We start from the raw sequence: 19,496 nt of genomic DNA, 5'->3' as shown, positions 1-19,496 counted from the left end.
GTGAGCCACCACGCCCGGCCCATTTTCGTCTTTTTCTCCACTGTCTTTATTTCCTCCTCACCGCGTTCCCCCCTACCAAAAAAAAGTGGGGCAACTAGGCCAGTACAAGACAGTCATCAGCCTCAGGGCCTGTGCGCACACGGGTGTGCTGGAGATGCTGGCATGGATGGGGGGGTTGGTACTTGCATTTGCTTGAGTGCTCGTTCTCTGACAGGCCCAGTAAGGCATGTTTCTCTACATTGTTTCCTCTCAGTACCCTCTCACAGTGCATGTTTTCAGATACACAAATAAGGCTCTGAGTTTCAGGGAGGGCAATGATGTCCTAGGTCACACAGCAAGCCCCTGGGACACAAGTGTGACCTCAGAACCTTGCTGTGACACCTTGCTTCTGTGCCTGGCACTGGTATGTGCTCCATAAATGCCAACCACACCAGTAATGATGGCGTGTACCTGCTAGCCCAGCCTGCCTCTCTGAGGAAGGGGATAGGGCTGGGCCCTCTGGTCCTGGGTGGCTGGGTTAAGTTCTAAGACAAGGACCTAATTTGAAGTTGGAATTCTAGGCACTCCTGGACCTCCTCCAACATGAGCTAATGCATTTCCGTATTGTTGAAGCCAGTGTGAGCCACTGATACTTAAGGGAAAAGAGTTTAGGTAAATTATTTTAACCTACTCAGTCTAGCAGCGCTCGTAGAGCCCTCCTTGTGCTGCTTCCTCATTCACAGGGACCTGTCAACTCAAAACTGCAGACTGCACCCTGATTTTGAGGGACACAGGCTTTATTGAACAGGTTAAGGTCAAACATTTCAGGAAATAAACATACATTTTGTATGAAGTTGGATTTTTTTTTTTTTTTTTTTTTTTGAGAGGGAGTCTCACTCTGTCACCCAGGCTGGAGTGCAGTGGCGCGATCTCAGCTCACTGCAAGCTCCGCCTCCTGGGCTGATGCCATTCTCCTGCCTCAGCCTCCCGAGCAGCTGGGACCACAGGTGCCTGCCACCACGCCCAGCTAAATTTTTGTATTTTTAGTAGAGATGGGGTTTCACCTGTTACCCAGGATGGTCTCAACCTCCTGACCTCGTGATGTGCCCGCCTTGGCCTCCCAAAGTGCTGGGATGACAGGCATAAGCCACCACACTCGGCCTGAAGTTGGATATTCTTGAGAGCAATTCTGAACCTTTACCAACATTCTACATGTTTGTCAGTATAAACGATTCCATATAAAATAAGTAAGTTAAGGCTATAGGTTTATTCACATATATACACATTTATATGTAAGTGGTCTATCCCATGTGAATTTTTTGATGCTGGGTAAGCCTTGAGCTACGATTAAAAGCTTTGCCACAGTCATTGCATTTATAAGGCTTCTCCCCGGTGTGAATTCTCTGGTGTATAATTAGGTGTGAACGCCACCTAAATATCTTCTCACAGTCTTCACACTGATGCAGTTTCTTTATAGTATTAACCTTTTTACGGCTCACAAAGGTGGACCCTTCCAGGGCATTCCCATATTCGTAAAACCACTGGGCCCTAGTGTGTATTCTCTGGTGTTCAATAAGATATGAGCTCCGGCTGAAGGCTTTTCCACACTCACTGCACTCATAGGGCTTCACCCCTGCATGAATTATCTGGTGTTGGAAAAGGGTTGAGTTTTGACTGAAGGCTTTCCCACATTCATTACATTTATAGGGCCTCTCTCCAGTGTGAACCCTTTGATGTATTGTAAGCTGTGTGCTCATACTGAAGGCTTTTCCGCATTGGAGGCATTCGTAGGGCTTCTCTCCTTTATGGATTCTCTGATGGTAAATAAGGCTGGAACTCTGACTGAAGGCTTTTCCACAGTCATTACACACATAGGGTTTCTCTCCAGTGTGGATTCGCTGATGCTGAATAAGGTGTGAGCCCTGAACAAAGCCTTTGCCACACTCATCACATTTAAATGGTTTTTCTCCAGTGTGAGTTCTCTGATGGCGAATAAGCCGTGAACTACAACCAAAGGCTTTTGTACACTTGTTGCATTTATAAGGCTTCTCTCCAGTGTGAATCAGCTGATGCTGACTCAGGCGAGAGATCCACCTAAAAGCTTTCCCACACTCATCACACTTAAATGGTTTCTCTACAGCGTGAATTCTCTGATGTGCAACAAGGCTTGGACTGTCTGAGGCTTTTAGAATTTGAGCTTTCTCCCCAGTATGCATCCTTTGATGCTGGGCTAGGGTGGAGCTCTGGCTGAAGGCCTTCCCACACTCCTTGCAAGGGTAGGGCCTCTCCCCAGTGTGAGTTCTCTGGTGTCTAACCAGCTGCGACTGCTGGCTGAAGGCTTTCCCACACTCACGACAACCATAGGGCCTCTCTCCTGTGTGGATTCTCTGATGGTGGATGAGGCTTGAGCTCTGACCAAAAGCTTTTCCACATTCCTCACATCTGTAGGGCTTCTCCCCAGTGTGGATTCTTTGATGCTGAATAAGTTTTGAGCTCAGGCGGAAGGCTTTTCCACACTCAGTGCATTTAAAGGGTTTCTCTCCCGTGTGGATTCTCTGATGCTGATTAAGCTGCGAGCAGAGCCTGAAGACTTTCCCACACTCTGCACATTCGTACGGCTTCTCTCCATGGCAGTTATTTGTATGTTTCCCCTGCAAGCAGTCAGATAACTTTTTTTGGCATTCTTGACATCTGCTAATTTTCTGTGTATTAATTTCCCAATGCAGAGCGATATCTGAAGTGGCTCTGATGCCTTTGCCACACTCCTCGCATCTCTGGGACATCCCTTCCGCACTCTCTCCCTGACTTTCAAGAGGCTGACAATCCAGGCCGCTGCTTCCCAGCTCCTTACATCCCTGGGGTGCGTCCTTGGTGAAGGTCTTGGGAACCACAGTCTCCTCATTCAAACAGTTATTTTGGAAGGTAAAGCCTGTCACTTTCAGCCCGGGACTGCCCAGATGACTGTCTAACCAGACCTCAGAATCAGAAACGTCTCCAAAGCCAGGATTCTGAGGAAAGTCCTGTGGGGAGATTCTGACCACTGTCCCATAGGATTCTGATTTTAGGATGTCCATGTCCTCACAGGCCTGCTCATTTTCAGTCCTAATCGTAGAATCTGAAATAAACAGGAACAAAGACGTTCCTTAGGCCCTGTGCTCAGAGAAATGATAAGACTACAAATGCGGGGGCCAGGGCTCAAGGCTCCCAGGATAGTTGCACTGAGCACTGTGAGGCCCCAGGTGGAAACGTGCAAGAGAAGGCAGAGCCTTTGACAGTTCTCAAAAGTGGTTTCATACTTTTTACCTTGTTCACTCATTCGATAGCAATGAATGTTCATTGCTGGGGCAGGGCTGGGTTCTGTGAGCAGAGAGGTCCATCCTACAGGCACTGGTGTGGGGCACAGTCCATGCAGAGGCAAAGGAGACAAAGCAAGACCAGAAGGGTGGGAAGCTACCACGGATTGGGCTGCGGGGTCAGGGGCTCCAGCATCCGAGCTGGCGAGGAAACAGTACAGGGTCTGAGTTCTGAATGGAGAGCATGGATTGTGATGAGGAAACAAGGCTGGAAGAGCTGCCAAGGGACTTACTACGTGAGCTCAGAAGAGCACTGGGCACCTAGGCCGTTCATGGCTACTCCCTGGGGTGGGCTTCTCTGAGCAGGACCCAGCCCCCTCAGCTGCCTCCTGGCTGCTGCTGCCAACTTGCACCTGGCCACCTCCCCTGCTTCTCCCTGGGCTGTGCGTGGCCACCTCTAAGACCACACTGACTTCTTCCCTGGGGCTGCAAGTTTCTGGAGGCCCCCAGGAGGCCTTCCAGACATCTGCGTTCCTTCTGGACTCTCCAAGTAAGCACAGGCTTCTGTCCTACTCTGTAACCCTAGAGGGCACCTCTGCTGAGGTCAGACATCTCCTTGATGTCTGTGATCAAACCATGACAGGATGCAACCACAACACACGGCTATGATCATGACAACCACGGTCCCCACCACGACACAATCACGTTCACAACCACAACCACGCAGCCACAGCTATAACCAGCCCGAGTCTACCCCACATGAATGCACAGCCCAGTTACAGGGCTTCAAGCTTCGGTTCCTGCCCACTCCTAACCATTGGTGGTGAGTCTCCGGCTTCCAGGGATCTCCAAAGGTCTTCCTATCAGTCCTGGAGAATCAGAGCAGGAAGCCCTTTCAACCTCATTGTGTAGCAGGGATGCTCAAGGCCTGTGAGGACAGGAGGCATCTCCAGGCCTGGTCCTCATGTGCTGCTTTCCCTGCACAACCACACCACCTCAGCATGCCTGCTCTTTCAACAGGGCTTGCTTGACACTCCTCCCAAGCCTTCCCCTGCTGTGAAGATAAGAGAGCAGGGTGGCCAGGTGCAGTGGCTCACGCCTGTAATCCCGGCTACTTGGGAGGCTGAGGCACAAGAATCACTTGAACCTGGCAGGCAGAGGTTGCAGTGAGCCAAGATCATGCCACTGCACTCCAGCCTGGGCAACAAAGACTCCATCTCAAAAAATAAAAAAATAAAGAGCAGCGGCAGAGAGAGCAGGGCCAAGCTGACAGCAAGGCTTTGTTGGGGGATGCCAGGAACCACCCAGCAGGGGGCACGGTGGTGGTCAAAAGCGTGGGGGTGCACAGCTGGGACCTGGCCGCTCCTCCACTGCTCTGGGCCAATATCTTTCAGTATCTGATGCTGACTGTACCAGCTGGGGACAAGTAACATATCTGGGCATTTCTGCCTTGCTTCATGTATTCTGGTTTTGTGCTGCTGCATGTTTTATCTAAGAGGCTACATCCCTGCCCCGGACTCTCAGGTCTGCGAGCAAGTGCTGGGTCCATCAACAGCAGCTCTCACCTACTGTGGGATTCTATTTTTTTGTTGTTGCTTTATCACAGTGAGGACCACCTGCTACATATAAACCCACTGAACTATTTCTGCCAACTGTAGCTGGCTTTTCTGCCATGGCACCCTCTTTAAACGCTCCTGTCCATGTTGGAGACATTTTAATGGGCGGCTGGGTTTTAACTGGGCCACCTTATAGCTGAACCTCCTTCTCAGGGAGACTGAGCAGAAAGGATCACATGGGAGTAGCCAGCAGAGCCAGTGAGGCCAGGGTTCCTGACCACTCTTCCCACACATCACATGCAGACTTCCTGGGCGGCTGCAAGGCCCACAGGGCGTGAAGAGGCTCAGAAACCCTCCTTGTCCTTTGAAGCTGCCTAGGGGCATATGAATGGAAGTAAGGTCACAGCCCCTAGGCGCATATGAATGGAAGTAAGGTCACAGCCCCTAGGCGCATATGAATGGAAGTAAGGTCACAGCCCCTAGGCGCATATGAATGGAAGTAAGGTCACAGCCCCTAGGCGCATATGAATGGAAGTAAGGTCACAGCCCCTAGGCGCATATGAATGGAAGTAAGGTCACAGCCCCTAGGCGCATATGAATGGAAGTAAGGTCACAGCCCCTAGGCGCATATGAATGGAAGTAAGATCACAGCCCCTGCTTTTTTTTTTTTTTTTTTTTTGAGACGTCATCTCGCTCTGTCGCCCAGGCTGGAGTGCAGTAGCGCAATCTCGGCTCACTGCAAGCTCTGCCTCCTGGGCTCACACCATTCTCCTGCCTCGGCCTCCCGAGTAGCTGGGACTACAGGCGCCTGCCACCACGCCTGGTTAATTTTTTGTATTTTTAGTAGACACAGGGTTTCACCGTGTTGGCCAGGATGGTCTCGATCTCCTGACCTCGTGATCCGCCCACCTCGGCCTCCCAAATCGCTAGAATGGCCGGCGTGAGCCACCATGCCCGGCTCCACGGCCCCTACTTTTCACAACTTTGGACTGTCCAACTTGCTTCCCGAGGCCCCTACAAGCCGGTGGCCTCTGTAGGACCTGGTCCTGCCCTGCTGCAGGAGTGACGGTGATGACCCAGCAGCAACTGAAAGGGAGGTGAGGGGCTTCCTTTCTGCAGCTGAGATGCACGCAGACCCATCTCCCTTGTCATGCTGGGCAGCACACCGGCTAAGCAGGGGAGCAGAGCACCAGGCCGGGCGCCTGCCCAGCAGGAGCTGATGCCGGAGGCAGTGGGTGCCCTGGTTAGGGCTGAGGACCCCAAGATAGGCTGAAGTCCTAACTTGAAGCACCTCAGAATGTGACCTTGTTTGGAAACACAGTCGTTGCAGATTAATTAGTCACCATGAGGTCACTGGGGTGGCCCCTAACCCACCATGACTGGTGTCCTTCTAAGGAGATGGCCACATGAACACAGACACGCAGGGAGAAGGCAGCCGTGTGAAGGAGTCGGAGATCAGAGTGAGGGACGCATCCACAAGCCAAGGAACCCAAGGACTGCCAGAAAACCACCAGCTGCCCGGAGAGGCAGGACAGGATCCTTCCCTAAAGCCTTCACAGGGGGGCACGGCCCTGCTTGCTGACCCCCCGGTTTCAGATTTCCGGCCTCCACAGCTGTGAGACAATAAATTTCTGTTGTTTTAAGCTTCCTAGTCTGTGGTTCATTGTTATGGCAGCCACAGGAAAGTAATGCACTCCTGGAGCCTGAGAGGGTCTGAAGGGAGCTGCCTCAGGGAATATGCTTACCCGAGGAGAGGTTACTGAATGCCAAACCTAACCCTTCACTTGGATCCATAGGTTTGTATCTTTGCTTAACGAAAGTATGAGTAAAATTAAAAATAGAACAAAATGTGACATGATTCAAAAACAAGCTCCGTTTTTGTGGAAATGCATGGGTTTTTGTGTCTTGGCTCTTCTGCAGTTTGGCCTCTCCCAAGGCAGCCCCACAACGGGTCTATGCTCCCTTCTAGGTGCTGGATGCTGCTTCCCCAGTAGCATTCCCAGGCATCCCAGTGTAGCCCCCGCGACTCACCCACAGCTACCCACAGTTGTGAGGCCCCTCCTGCAGTTTCTCCTCACCCCAGGGCTTCTCTGCGATGGGATCTAAGCCTCACCTGTCTTGGAGGTCCTTGGTGCCTCTGTCCCCTCTGCTCCCTGCAGGTCGAGGACCCATGGCTCTTCTCCCTGCTCCAGCCGAGAGATCAGCTCAGGCTTGAAAACCAGGAATCCTGCTGTGTGTGCGGCAGAGAAGACAACAGTGTCAGCATGACGGGAAGTGTGCAGCACAGGGCTAAGTCTTCCCCAGTTTCCAAATGGAAAGGGGCAGGGGGGCTACAAGGCACAGGCCAAGCTCCTGCAGGGAGAGTGGGTGGAGGGTGGGGAGAATCTGGGGACACAGCAGCCCTTTCTGTCCAGATCTGTCCACCTCCTGTGGCTGGACAGCAAGGGATACCTGACTCCCACAATCTCCAGGCGACCCTGTCACCAAACAGTCTGCAAAGGACAGTCCGCCTCTACCCCTGGAACTCGGGAAAGAGAAGGAGAAGCCCAAGCTTCACTTAGCAGAACCGGGCCTGTCCCTCAGTTCAGAGAGCAGAGATGCTCCAAGAGGCAGGGGTGGTTACAAAATAAGGTAACAAACAACGATGAATAGACACAAACGAAGCACATTTTGCATCAGAAAGCTCCAAGGTCCAGTCCTCAGCCAGTGTCCTTCCAGCCTCAAGTCCCTGCACAAAGGATGCCTCAGGGCCTGCCTCCCTCGCTGCAGACTGGGTGGCAGAGACCTGTGGGGGCCCACCTGGCACCCTGCCTTCTTGGGGCCACCTGCCCCCATACCCTCTTTGTGCCGGTCAGTACAGAGATGAGCAGTTGATCCATGGGCCAGCCAAGGCCTCTGTTTAGAAGCTTCCTTCAGGGTTCCCCCAACTGGAAGGAAAGAGGCAGGCAGAGATTCCAAAGGCCTATAGCCAATAAGCTGAAACCCCCAGATGCAGGCAGGACTCCACATTCAACAGAAAATGCATATCCTCTCCAAGTACATGTGGAACAAAGAAACAGCCTTGGGTCAAGCCACAAACTGAGTCACAGACATGCCAAAGAACATACCACAGAACACGCGCCCAGGCAAATGCAACTCAGTGTGAAACTCACCACAAAATGGTGCTTAGATGCCATTAGCTACTTGGAAACTACATAATAAATGACTAAGTGGCAACTGTATTTATTATGAGTCAGAATTTATAGGATGCAGCCCAAGCAGTATGTAAAGATAAAATGTTATTTATTTAGAGATACGGTCTTGCTCTAGCACTCAGGCCGGAGTGCAGTGGCACCATCACAGCTCACTATAGCCTAGGCCAATCCTCCCGCCTCAACCTACTGAGTAGCTAGGACTACAGGTGCGTGACACCACACCCAGCTAATTTTTAAATTCTTTGCAGACATGTGGTCTCGCTATGTTGCCCAGGCTGGCCTCAAACTCCTGGGCTCAAACAATCCTCCTGCCTCAGCCTCCTAAGTAACTGAGATTATAGGCATATGCCACTATACCCAGAAAAATTTTATACTTTTAGATACATTTACTAGAAATGATCATTTTAAAACACAAATGAGGTAAATAGTAAGTTCAAGAAGTTGAGAATGGCCAGGCGTGGTGGCTCACACCTGTAATTCCAGCACTTTGGGAGGCCAAGGCGGGTGGATCACCTGAAGGTCAGGAGTTCGAGACCAGCCTGGCCAACACGGTGGGAGGATCGCTGGAACCCAGGCAGTCCAGGCTGCAGTAAGCCACTGCACTCCACCCTGGGAAACAGAGTGAAACTTTGTCTCAAAAAATTAAAAAAGCAAAACAAACAAACACCACACACATCAAACTCACATAAATAAAAAGGAAGAAAATAATAAATCCGGGGCAGGATTCAGAGAGCTAGAGAACAAAGACAAATAAAAACATCCTCCAACCCAACCCCCCAAAAAAGGCAAAACCAAAAGCCAGTTATTTGAAAACATGAATATGACTGATGACAAAACCAATCAAGGTCCACTTAGTGAGAAGATGCTGCCAAAAAACAGAGAATAAGAGACACAATTACAAATATAACAGATTAAAACCAAAGGAAATGCCAGGCAAGGTGTCTCCTGCCTATAATCCCAGCATTTTGGAAGGCCAAGGCAGGACTGCTTGAGGCCAGAAGTTTAAGACTAGCCTGCGGCAACATGACAGACCCCAACTCTACAAAGAAAGAAAAAACAGCTGAGCATGGTGGCGCACACCTATAGTCCCAGCTACTAGGGAAACTCAAGTGGAAGAATCACTTGAGCCCAGGAGTTCAAGGCTGCAGTGAGCTATAATCGCACCACTGTACTCTAGGCTGGACAACAGAGCAAAACCCCAACTCTTTAAAAAAAAAAAAAAAGAAAATATAAATGCATAAATGCTAATCCAAGACTTTCCTTCCCCAAAAGCTCAAGGTCCCGATGGTTTTACAGATTAGCTCCACCAAGTTCTACTTGTATGCCAAATGCCATTTATCAAACATGTCAAAATTACATAAGGACAATACACAAAAAGAAACATAGGCCAGTCGTGGTGGCTCATGCCTGTAATCCCAGCACTTTGGGAGCCCAAGGCAGGTGGATCACGAGGTCAGGAGATCAAGACCATCCTGGCTAACATAGTGAAACCCCATCTCTACTAAAAATACAAAAAAATTTAGCCAAGCATGGTGGCAGGCACCTGTAGTGCCAGCTACTCGGGAGGCTGAGGCAGGAGAATGGCGTGAACCTGGGAGGCGGAGCTTGCAGTGAGCCGAGATCACGCCACTGCACTCCAGCCTGCGCAACAGAGCGAGACTCCGTCTCAAAAAAAAAAAAAAAAGGAAATATATATACATATATATATATATCCATTTCACTTATGAACAGAAACACAAAAATACAATATTGGCTAGTTGAATCCAAAGGCATATCAAAATTTATATATAAATATCGTGATTTAAGTAAGGCTTATTCCAGGAATACAAGAAAATATAACAATGTAATTTCCTGCATTAATAAAGAAAATAAATCACGTGTCTCAAATGATGCAGAAAAAGAATTTGAAATTCAGTATTTATGATTAAAAACAAAAAAAACTCCTTAGCCAAATTCTGTGGTTATGTAGATGCATTCCCTTTAAAATCAGGAACACAACATGCCCACACGGTCCTGTTTAACACTGTGCTGGCCACTGCAAAGGCAGAGATGGGAGGAGTGAGGGCTGGGAGGGAAAATACCAAACTCTCATTTGCAGGAATCCTCCTGCTGGAAAACAGCAGAATCACCGAGCAACACTGATTTACCCAGGGAGTTCCACAAAGTTGCCAGATGTAAGATCATCCTCCAGAACCAACAGCATTTTTGTACTACAGCAATAATCAGCTAAAAATACATTCACAAAGCAAAAAAATCAAAACTTTTACATTGACAGAAAACAGTTTCAAAGCACTCCCAATAAAAATTCCAGTGGCTTTTAGGAACTCAACTTATTCTAAAATTAGTATGCAGCCGGGCATGGTGGCTCAAGCCTGTAATCCCAGCACTTTGGGAGGTCGAGGCAGACGGATCACCTGAGGTTAGTTCGAGACCAGCCTGGCCAACATGGTGAAACCTCATCTCTACTTAAAATATAAAAATTAGCCGGGTGTAGTGGCACATGCCTGTAATCCCAGCTACTCAGGAGGCTGAGGCGGCGAATCACTTGAACCCAACAGCCGGAGGTTGCAGTGAACTGAGATCGCGCCATTGCACTCGAGCCTGGGCAACAAGAGCGAAACTCCGTCCCAGAAAAAAAAGAATTAAACGGGTGAGTTTAATTCTTTTAGTATTCTTGTAGTATTAAGAAACACTACAAAATTAAAGCAAAAAACAAAAACCACCCCAAAATAAAAAACAAAGCCAAACTGGCCAGGTACGGTGGCTCACACCTGTAATCCCAGCACTTTGGGAGACCAAGGTGGGTGGATAACCTGAGGTCAGGAGTTCCAGACCAGCCTGGCCAACATGGCGAAACCCCATCTCTAGTAAAAATACAAAAAATTGGCCGGGTGTGGTGGCACATGCCTGAGTAGCTGTAATCCCAGCTACTCAGGAGGCTGAGGCACAAGAATTGCTTGAACCTGGGAGGCAGAGGTTGCAGTGAGCCGAGATCGCACCACTGTACTCCAGCCCAGGTGACAGGGTGAGACTTTATTTCAAAAAAAAGCCAAAAACACAAATGAACAAACAAACAAAAAAAAACCAAAACAAACCAAAAGCAGGAAGCTGGCCCACAAGAGAGATTCAGGGAAGAGAACAGGGTTCAGAAACATCCCATTTCATAGATGAAAATGGTGGCTCCACATGTCAACAGGAAAAGGAGATAGTCTTTTTTTTTTTTTTTTTTTGAGACAAAGTCTCGCTTATTGCCCAGACTGAAGTGCAGTGGCACGATCTCAGCTCACTGCAACCTCAACCTCCCAGGTTCAAGCGATTCTCCTGTCTCAGCCTTCTGAGTAGCTGGGATTACAGGCGTGAGCCACCACACCCAGCTAATTTTTGTATTTTTAGTAGAGATGAGGTTTCACCATGTTGGCCTGGCTGGTCTCGAACTCCTGACCTCAGGTGATCCGCCCACCTCGGCCTACTTCAAAGTGCTGGGATTACAGGTGTGAGCCACCGAGCCTGGCCAAGGAGACTGTTTAATAGATGATGTTGGGGAAAACAGCTATGTGTGGACAAAATAAAACAGGGATTTTTACGTAACCCCAATACAAATGTGGAGCTGGGATACAGATGAGAAATACAAACTATAAAATCCACAGGAGAAAATGAAGCCCATCTCAGTGACCTTGGAGGAGGGAAGAACTTTTTTTTGAGACGGAGTCTCACTCTGTCACCCAGGCTGGAGTGCACTGGTGTGATCTCGGCTCAGTGCAACCTCTGCCTCCTGGGTTCAAGGAATTCTCCTGCCTCAGCCTCCTGAGAAGCCAAGATTACAACCACCCGCCACCACGCCTGGCTAATGTCTGTATTTTTAGTAGAGGCGGGGTGTCACCATGTTGGTCAGGCTGGTCTCAAACTCTGACCTCAGGTGATCTGCCCGCCTCGGCCTCCCAAAGTGCTGGGATTACAGGTGTGAGCCACCACACCCAGCCAGGGAAGAACTTTTTTTTTTTTTGGAGATAGAGTCTCGCTCTGTCACCCAGGCTGGAGTGCAGTGGCACAATCCCGGCTCACTGCAACCTCTGCCTCCCAGGTTCAAGCAATTCTCCTGCCTCAGCCTCCCAATTAGCTGGGACTACAGGTGTACACTGCCATGCCCAGCTAATTTTTTTTTTTTTTTGCATTTTAATAAAGACAGGGTTTCACTGTGTTGCCCAGGCTGGTCTTGAACTCCTGATTTGAGGCAATCCGCCCGCCTTGGCCTCCCAAAGCGCTGGGATTACAGGTGTGAGCCACTGTGCCCGGACAGAACTTTTAAATAAAACTTCAAAGAGACAATCCATAAGGCAAAAACACAGTAATTACATTAAAATCTGACCTAACAAAGTTAACAAACACAAAAGAAGCAGAGAAGATTTTTTTTTTAGACAGGGTCTCACTCTGTTGCCTAGGCTGGACTGCAGTGGCACAATCATAGCTGACTCCAACCTTGACCTTCCAGGCTCAGGCAATCCTCCCTCCTCGCTCTCCCCAGTAGCTGGGACTACAGGCATGCAACACCATGTCCGGCTGAAAAAGTGATTTATAATAAACAAAACTAACCTGGTACTTACCATATTTTATAAATTCTAAGATAGTCTTTTTTTTTTTTTTTTTTAGATGGAGTCTCGCTCTGTTGCCCAGGCCGGATTGCAGTGGTGCGATCTCAGCTCGCTGCAAGCTCCGCCTCCAGGGTTCAAGCGATTCTCGTGCCTCAGCCTCCCGAGTAGCTGGGATTACAGGCATGCGCCACCACACCCAGCTAATTTTTGTATTTTTAGTAGAGACGGGGGTTTCACCCTGTTGGCCAGGATGGTCTCGATCTCCTGACCTCATGATCCACCCGCCTCAGCCTCCCAAAGTGCTGGGATTACAGATATGAGCCACCGCGCCCGGCCCTAAGATAGTGTTTTTATAAAACCCTTTCCCATCTCTTGGACGCATCTAGGAATTGATGTCATCCGCCAGGTGGCAGCTGTGACACACCATCACTGCCTGTGCACACACGAGCTTGCCCCAGCTGCTCAGTCACTGCTGCAGGTAAGTCACCAGCACCATCATACAATACATGCTGAATTCAGCTGCTCTCTACACTGTCTTCAAAAGCTTTACCCTGTGACTTGGCACAGCAGCAGGACGTTATAAATAGACAGAAGCCATGGAAAAAGAACAGCAGCTGTACCTTTGAGCCTGGAGAAGCAAACTGCTGCTGGGGGAATGACTGCAATTCCAGTTACTGGTACATCAGCAACTGTGTACACACAGGGCCTGAGAGAGGAGGACAGGCACAGCAGATGGAGCTGCTACATGCCAAGCAAGAAAGCTCAAGCACCAAGCTCACTGGATGAAGAAAACCCCAACACCACTTACGAAAAGCTGCAGCACCTCTAGATGGCCAGGCCCACAGGTTGCCATCACGTGGAAAGCATGGACACAGATAACCAAACCAGAGAGTGGGGTCACTAAAAGCTGTGAAGAAACATTAGAAGTACCCTTACTCCGGCTGGGCACGGTGGCTCACACCTGTAATCCCAGCTACTCGGGAGGCTGAGGCAGGAGAATCGCTTGAACCCAGGAGGCGGAGGTGGCGGTGAGCCAAGATCGCGCCATTGCACTCCGGCATGGGTGACAGGGCAAGACTCCATCTCAAAATCTCAAAAAAAAAAAAAAAGGACCCTCACTGCATGTGTCTTTTCCTATTTCAGTGAGACAGGGTAAACCACATCTAAATGAGTCTAAGAGGGCTCTTTAAAAAGTATAAAGTAAAATTAAATGATTAAAAAATGCGTGTAATCAGTAGCATTCCAACTTTCTTAAAATAATGATGTGTACATAACTACATGTTTTACAAAGTAAGGCATCTTAGACAGAATGAAGAAACAACACCTTCAAAGCAATAAGACACAGCGGACCTAGAATATGGGCAAATGCCCTGAACAGATATTTCACAGAAGAACCTGGCAAGCTAATGAGGGTGTGAAAATAGGCTCAAGCTCAGCAGAAATCAGAGAAATGCAAACTCAAACTACAACAGCCTCCCACTGTACACTTATCTGACTGGCAAAACAGAAAGCTGGACTTTGCCAGACTAGCCGGGACAGAGGGGGACAGGCCTGGTCCAACACCCCAAGAAGCTCCTGGCCAACCAACGATGCCCGCGTCAGTTCCACTCCTGATCCCCCAGCCCAGGCACTCTCTCGGGCGTGTGATGCAGCAGAGGGCTTAGTCACAGGCAAGAGGCCCAGCAAGGCCCAAGTTAAGACGCACCCCCCCTCACCAAGTTGCAATCCAACGACAGTATACAGCTTGTGAGGACACAGGCATGGACATAAAGAGCACCGCAGTGGCTGCCTGTGGCGGTGGTGGAGTTCAGAGAGGAGACTAACGGCAGGACAGGAGGGGCAAGGGGATGACGGCATCTGCAAAGCAGCCGTGTGGGCGTCGCTGCCACCTCTTGCTCGTTGCACAACCTTTTCCTTGGATTTCTCCACCCAATAATTTCTCTTTTCTTGTCTAAGCTATTTCAAGTTTGGATTCTATTTCTCACAATTTAACAGCTTAGGAAAAAAAGAGGCTTTACTAACTCCCAGAATCCCACCCACTCCCTGGGGGCTGAACCCCATGACATGGGCAAAGCTAGGAACCAGCCTGGCACACCACTCATGAGTCCAAGCCCCCTGTGGAGCCCACAAGGGTCTGAGCGTTTGGCCTGCATACCCCAGCCTCTGATGGAGGCCTGGCTGGGTGGGTGCTGACTGATGATGCAGGGGAAGGGGCCCCAAGGTGCAGCCTCACCTAGTCCAGCCACACTGCTGTGGTTCTCCAGCATCACTTCCCTGTAGAGGGCCCTCTGGCCAGGGTCCAGACACTGCCACTCCTCCCGAGAGAAGTGCACAGCCACATCGCCAAATGTTACCACCTCCTGAAAGGACACACACCAGCACCCCAGGAATCCCTGGGTGCCAGCCCCCTTCTGGCGCTGCCTCATGACATGTCTCAGGCAGCTGCCCCATGGGGTTGGGCGAGACGCTCACCAGGACTCCTCTGCCTCTAATATTCTGGGGAGGGGCAGTCTCGGGGAGGAGGAAGGAACCCAGTCCATGGTGGTCATACAACCCTCCCCCCTCAAGAGCCTCAATTAGGCCCTGGTTTGGGCAGGGGTTTGCTCACTACCTTGGGGTTGGGGGCAAGGGGGCCTTCCTAAGCCCAGCAAGGGCCAAGGTAGGGTCTGGGCCCAGGGCCAGTGGGCAGAGCAGGAGGTGGGCCTTCACAGGACATGCGAGGGGAAGGAGGCAGTCAAGCTTCCTACCATGAGGCTCAGTGGTGGGTGGGCATCCACGTGTTCTGGCCGAGAGACCTGTTGGCAATTATGAAAGGATTAGAGGTCAAGGTGCCAGAAGCCCAACTTCCAGGCTAATCAAGGGGGTACTGTGCTCTCTGCTCCTTTACCTCCAGCCCCAGATTTCTCTAGCAGGGACATGGGGCTGGGCTGAAGCAGCCATGGCACTTGAGTGAAGGAGGCCCACTGAACTCTTGTTCCTCTTTAGAGTGTATGTGTGTGTGGCATGTGTGACTCACTCCACAAAGCCGTAAGAAGTGGATGCCACGTGCCAGGCACTGAGTAATGGGGATACAGTAGTGGACACGAGGACCCTGCCTTCACGAAGCAGTCTGGCGGAGGAAAGAGTTAAATAACCACACAAATAAGCACACTGCAACCACGACAGCGCTCAAGTACAGGGAACTATGAAAGCCACTTAGACTAGAACGTTCAGTGTAATGGGTCACTTCCCCAGGGACCTCGGCCAAGGTAATGGAGGTGGAGAGAGCACTCCAGGCAGCAGGAATAGCATGTGAAAGGGCCTGAAGCAAGAAGAAATGGGGTTGGATGAACCAGTGTGGGTAAATTCCCGGCAGCAAGGGAAGGCAGTGAGCGACTGGAGGTTGGGGAAGGCAGTGAGCGACTGGAGGTTGGAGAAGGCAGGAGCAAAAATGACAAACTGTAGGGAAGACAAGAGTGGACATGGAAACCCCTGCCCTCAAGTACATAAATTCCAGTCTCCAGCTCACCTGTCGCCAGGATGGAACCAGGCACAGGGATGTAATCTGATATAAATCGTTCACCTCAATTAAGCCAATGACCCCAGACCCTCTACCTGCCCAGGCATTCCCCCGGGAGGTCGGAATGGGAAAAAGAGTCTTCGTATGGCAGCTTCTGGCCCAGAAAGTGGTTTGTGGGTGGAAGCCCCAGGTCACCGGCACAGGTAGGCTGATCCCCCCACCTGGCTCCTGACAGTAGGAATGCCCGGAATAGCAACCAGAATTTAGAGAAGACAAACAGCCTACCCCACCCAAGGCACCGTTCCTTCCTCCACTGTCACTTATCCTAGGCCTTCCGGGGCAATAAATAGAAAGAGAAAAGGCTCTAGAAGGAGGTGATTTCGCAGGAGGAGTCAGGGCCCCGGGAGTAGACCCAGGCCTGAAGAAAAGGCCGCAGCTGGAGCTCGCCTTACTCAGGCCCCGGACACCGTGGCCGCCACGAGCGGGGTCTGCGGGGAGCTGCGAGACTCGGCCAAACGAAGCCCACCTCGCGCCGCCGCGGGGGAGGGTGGCTGGGCTCGACCACCTCCCACACCAGGCGCTCAAGGCCCCGCAAAGCCCCCGCGCTTTCCCGCCTGGAGGCCCGGGGGACGCGGGGACCCCAATGCCGAAGGCGGGAGGGCTAAGGAAGCGACCAGGGATCACTCGGACCGAGGGCAACCCGAGTCCGCGCCCGCCGCGCCGACTCACCCTCCCTGAGGACCACCCGAGGCTCGCAAACGCGCGACGCCGCCGGAAACGGGCCTTGGCCACCCGCGTCCGCCCCGCCCCGCAAACTTCCGGCCGCCCTGGGCCGCTCGGAGGCCCGGCCATCTCTGTGGTTCTCAGCCCCGCCTCCCAGGCTCCGGAGAAGGGGTGGAGTCAGAGCCGAGGAGGGGCGAGGCTGGGGCCCGAGGGACAAGAACCTGGGCGGGACCAGAAGCCCAGATAGGCGGGGCTGGCGCCTGGGGGCGGGGTACAGTCAGAGGCGGGCAGGGGGCGGAGCCGCGAGGGAGAGGAGGGCCCAGAGCCCGGAGTGGGCGGTGCCTGAGCAGGGGCGGGGCGGGGCCGGGGCCTGGAGCTGGGGACGCGGGCCGGGGCCGGGAGTTGCGGACTCGCTGGCGGGTGGGAGGAGCGGAGTCGGGGCGAGGCTGGCGGAGATCCAGGGGATCGCCCGGTTGGGCCCTGCGCACCCCGGATCACCAGCTTCGGGCGCTGGTTCCCACCGAGGCTGTTCAGGCGCCGCTCCCCCGCGTCCCTGCGACAGGAGGCGCCTGCTGGGCGCGCTATGGACCCCGCCTCGCGGAGACGCCTGGCTCGGGCCTTGTCCCCAGTGAGCGGCTGGAGCGGCCGCGGGGTCGCAGAGCCTCCGGGACCCCGAGGAAGGGCGCCCCTCGGAGTTGCCCGAGGCCGGGCCCGGCGTCCACTCGCCACTCGCCTCGCCCCTCCCCGGCCCCGCACCGCCCTCCACCCCGCCTCCTTCGGGTTCCTTCTGCGTCCGGCAGAGCCTGCGCGCCTCCCCCGGACGGCCACGGACTCGCAGCCTCGGCGAGGACGCTGCCTGCGTCCCGACTGCCTGGACCTCCCCGCGTGGCTCCCGGCGAAGCCCAGCAGCCGGAGGGTGCCAGGTCCGCCTGACGCGCCCCTCCCCACGGGAAGAACGGGGCGGGGGTCCAGGAGGGACGTAAGCCGGGCTCCCCCGGCGTGTTGATCCGAACCCGCGCGGGAAAACTTGCGCAAACCAAAGGAGGGAAGAGTCAGGCAGCCCCCAGCCCCCCAGGGAGGCCCAGGTGAAAAACAGACGCCGGCCTCGCCTCTCCCGGTGCGGATGATCCCGGCACTCCCACCCCCGCCCCTGCTGCCCCGAGTTCGGCTCCCTCAGCCCCACATCCTCTCTGGTCATCTAAGTGGACTGCAGCTGCTCAGGGAGCATGTCGCGAAGGATAGGGAAGGACAGGGGGTCTGCTTCCCCAGCCGCCCTCCAGACCCCCAGGGCTGGTAGGGGCCGGCAACCCTATGCCCCAACCTGGCCTGCTGCAGGTGAGGGGGGCACACCAGGGTAACACAGGAGCAGGAGGGGGAGAAAGCCTGGCTAGAGCATCCACCTCATAGGCACCTTCCTTGTGTCCAGGGTGCAGATGCCAGGGCTCTGAGGCCCTGAGGTCCTGTCTGGGGCGAGGGGGCTTCCTCCATCCACTGCATCCACTGCCCGGCTGAGTCTAGAGGCCACTGAGCAAGCAGACCCTCCAAAGCCAGGCACACTCAGGCCCTCACATGGTCACGGTGCTTATGCTCTGGGCCAGCCTGGATTGCTCATCCCTAGCTGAGATTGGGATTCACAGGGTCTTCCAGTTCCCCCTTTTCTTTCTCTACTGATTGAGAAACACAGAGTCCTTTGATTGCTCTGGGACCTGGCCATTGCGTGTTCCCTGCAGCCTTGAACCCAGTTCAATGGGGCCGGGCACATTCCCTGATAAAGCTGTTTAGGTTGCTTGAAAACACAATCAACCCTATTGCTAAACACGTAGAAACTGGCCCTGCCCTGAGTCCAATCCCTTAAACTCTCATCTAAGCTCCATAGCCAGAGTCCCTTGCTGCAAATGTACCTGGGTGGAGCATCCCTTGCCTCATCATCGATCCCAAGAAAGCTGAAGCTCCATGTGAAAATTTCCGGAAGAAATGCTCTGGACTGATCACCCTGGCGTTTAGAGCTTCTTTCCTTGGAATCCCAACCAATTCCATCGCGGGACTGTTTGGGGAAGTCTTTTGAGGCAACTCCCTTGCTGCCACTTTTGGGGCAACTCTAGCCTCCTCATATTTGGCCAGATAGAACAGTTCCAAGCTGTAAATGTTTCCAGGAAAAAATCTCAACTACAAAGACACTTTCAAGGTGCTGCATTTCCAACAGCACTCTCCGTATCCGAGTGGACAGCCCAGAGCAATGGTGCTTCCAATCCACAGAGCCCCTCCACAGGTCCCTTGCCATCTGCAGACACCCACATCTCAAGGTGAGTGCAGACACCCACATCTCAAGGTGAGTTCAAATGTATCCTGGATTTGTTTTTTGTTTGTTTGTTTGTTTTTTAAGGCAGAGTTTCACTTTTGTTGCCCAGGCTGGAGTGCAATGACAGTCTCAGCTCACTGCAACCTCTGCTCCCGGGTTCAAGCGATTCTCCTGCCTCGGCCTCCCGAGTAGCTGAGATTACAGGCACCTGCCACCACGCCTGGCTAATTTTTTGTATTTTTAGTAGAAACGGGGTTTCACCATGTTAGCCAGGCTGGTCTCGAACTCCTGACCTCAGGAGATCTGCCCACCTCGGTCGCCCAAATTGCTGGGATTACAAGCGTGAGCCACCGCGCCCGGACCC

General features: G+C 52.4%; 2 protein-coding genes and 1 long non-coding RNA gene across 27 annotated transcripts in view, besides 6 other annotated features; 2 read left to right on the top strand and 1 right to left on the bottom strand.

Moving 5' to 3' along the window:
- COMMD5 (COMM domain containing 5) overlaps window positions 1-6,471 on the top strand; it is a 15,579-nt gene extending 9,108 nt beyond the window's left edge. For 4 of the 7 annotated variants that reach the window (XR_002956628.2, XR_928321.4, XR_428379.4 and 1 more), the window contains exon 3: window positions 2,706-6,471. The gene's annotated coding sequence lies outside the window, so the exon portion shown is untranslated. The remainder of the gene's footprint in view (window positions 1-2,705) is intronic. The other 3 variants (XR_002956629.2, XR_007060730.1, XR_007060731.1) reach the window with 1 other exon arrangement.
- ZNF7 (zinc finger protein 7) overlaps window positions 1-16,889 on the bottom strand; it is a 19,949-nt gene extending 3,060 nt beyond the window's left edge. The window contains exons 1-5 of one of the 19 annotated variants that reach the window (XM_011517294.3): window positions 16,120-16,889; window positions 15,359-15,406; window positions 14,845-14,971; window positions 6,942-7,058; window positions 677-3,094 (exon numbers count right to left, since the gene is read on the bottom strand). In XM_011517294.3, coding sequence (XP_011515596.1) covers window positions 1,281-3,094; window positions 6,942-7,058; window positions 14,845-14,971; window positions 15,359-15,361 — 2,061 coding nt within the window. In that variant the 5' untranslated portion in view covers window positions 15,362-15,406; window positions 16,120-16,889 and the 3' untranslated portion in view covers window positions 677-1,280. Of the gene's footprint in view, window positions 1-676; window positions 3,095-6,941; window positions 7,059-14,844; window positions 15,407-16,119 lie in introns of those variants that run through there. The other 18 variants (XM_011517292.4, XM_011517293.3, XM_011517296.4 and 15 more) reach the window with 18 other exon arrangements.
- Window positions 5,043-5,596: an enhancer, noted in NCBI's record as "OCT4-H3K4me1 hESC enhancer chr8:146064238-146064791 (GRCh37/hg19 assembly coordinates)". NCBI's record gives its function as "activates a minimal SCP1, AML or CMV promoter by ChIP-STARR-seq in primed H9 embryonic stem cells {active_cell/tissue: H9 hESC(primed)}" and the evidence as "EXISTENCE:reporter gene assay evidence [ECO:0000049][PMID:30033119]".
- Window positions 15,660-16,185: an enhancer, noted in NCBI's record as "H3K27ac-H3K4me1 hESC enhancer chr8:146053649-146054174 (GRCh37/hg19 assembly coordinates)". NCBI's record gives its function as "activates a minimal SCP1, AML or CMV promoter by ChIP-STARR-seq in naive H9 embryonic stem cells {active_cell/tissue: H9 hESC(naive)}" and the evidence as "EXISTENCE:reporter gene assay evidence [ECO:0000049][PMID:30033119]".
- Window positions 16,186-16,711: an enhancer, noted in NCBI's record as "H3K27ac-H3K4me1 hESC enhancer chr8:146053123-146053648 (GRCh37/hg19 assembly coordinates)". NCBI's record gives its function as "activates a minimal SCP1, AML or CMV promoter by ChIP-STARR-seq in primed H9 embryonic stem cells {active_cell/tissue: H9 hESC(primed)}" and the evidence as "EXISTENCE:reporter gene assay evidence [ECO:0000049][PMID:30033119]".
- Window positions 16,186-17,698: a biological region, named in NCBI's record as "hESC enhancers GRCh37_chr8:146052597-146053122 and GRCh37_chr8:146053123-146053648".
- Window positions 16,569-17,698: a silencer, noted in NCBI's record as "silent region_19713". NCBI's record gives its function as "represses an Ori minimal core promoter by ATAC-STARR-seq in GM12878 lymphoblastoid cells {active_cell/tissue: GM12878}" and the evidence as "EXISTENCE:reporter gene assay evidence [ECO:0000049][PMID:35858748]".
- Window positions 16,712-17,237: an enhancer, noted in NCBI's record as "H3K27ac hESC enhancer chr8:146052597-146053122 (GRCh37/hg19 assembly coordinates)". NCBI's record gives its function as "activates a minimal SCP1, AML or CMV promoter by ChIP-STARR-seq in primed H9 embryonic stem cells {active_cell/tissue: H9 hESC(primed)}" and the evidence as "EXISTENCE:reporter gene assay evidence [ECO:0000049][PMID:30033119]".
- LOC100130027 (uncharacterized) overlaps window positions 17,409-19,496 on the top strand; it is an 18,231-nt gene continuing 16,143 nt past the window's right edge. The window contains exon 1 of the long non-coding RNA NR_147501.1: window positions 17,409-19,136. This is a non-coding gene — a long non-coding RNA (uncharacterized LOC100130027). The remainder of the gene's footprint in view (window positions 19,137-19,496) is intronic.

Source organism: Homo sapiens, chromosome 8 (genome assembly GCF_000001405.40).
Source record: "Homo sapiens chromosome 8, GRCh38.p14 Primary Assembly".
In the NCBI taxonomy this organism is placed as follows: domain Eukaryota; kingdom Metazoa; phylum Chordata; class Mammalia; order Primates; family Hominidae; genus Homo; species Homo sapiens.
The sequence above is the reverse complement of the archived record's forward strand: the minus strand, read 5'-3'. Positions and strand labels throughout refer to the sequence as shown.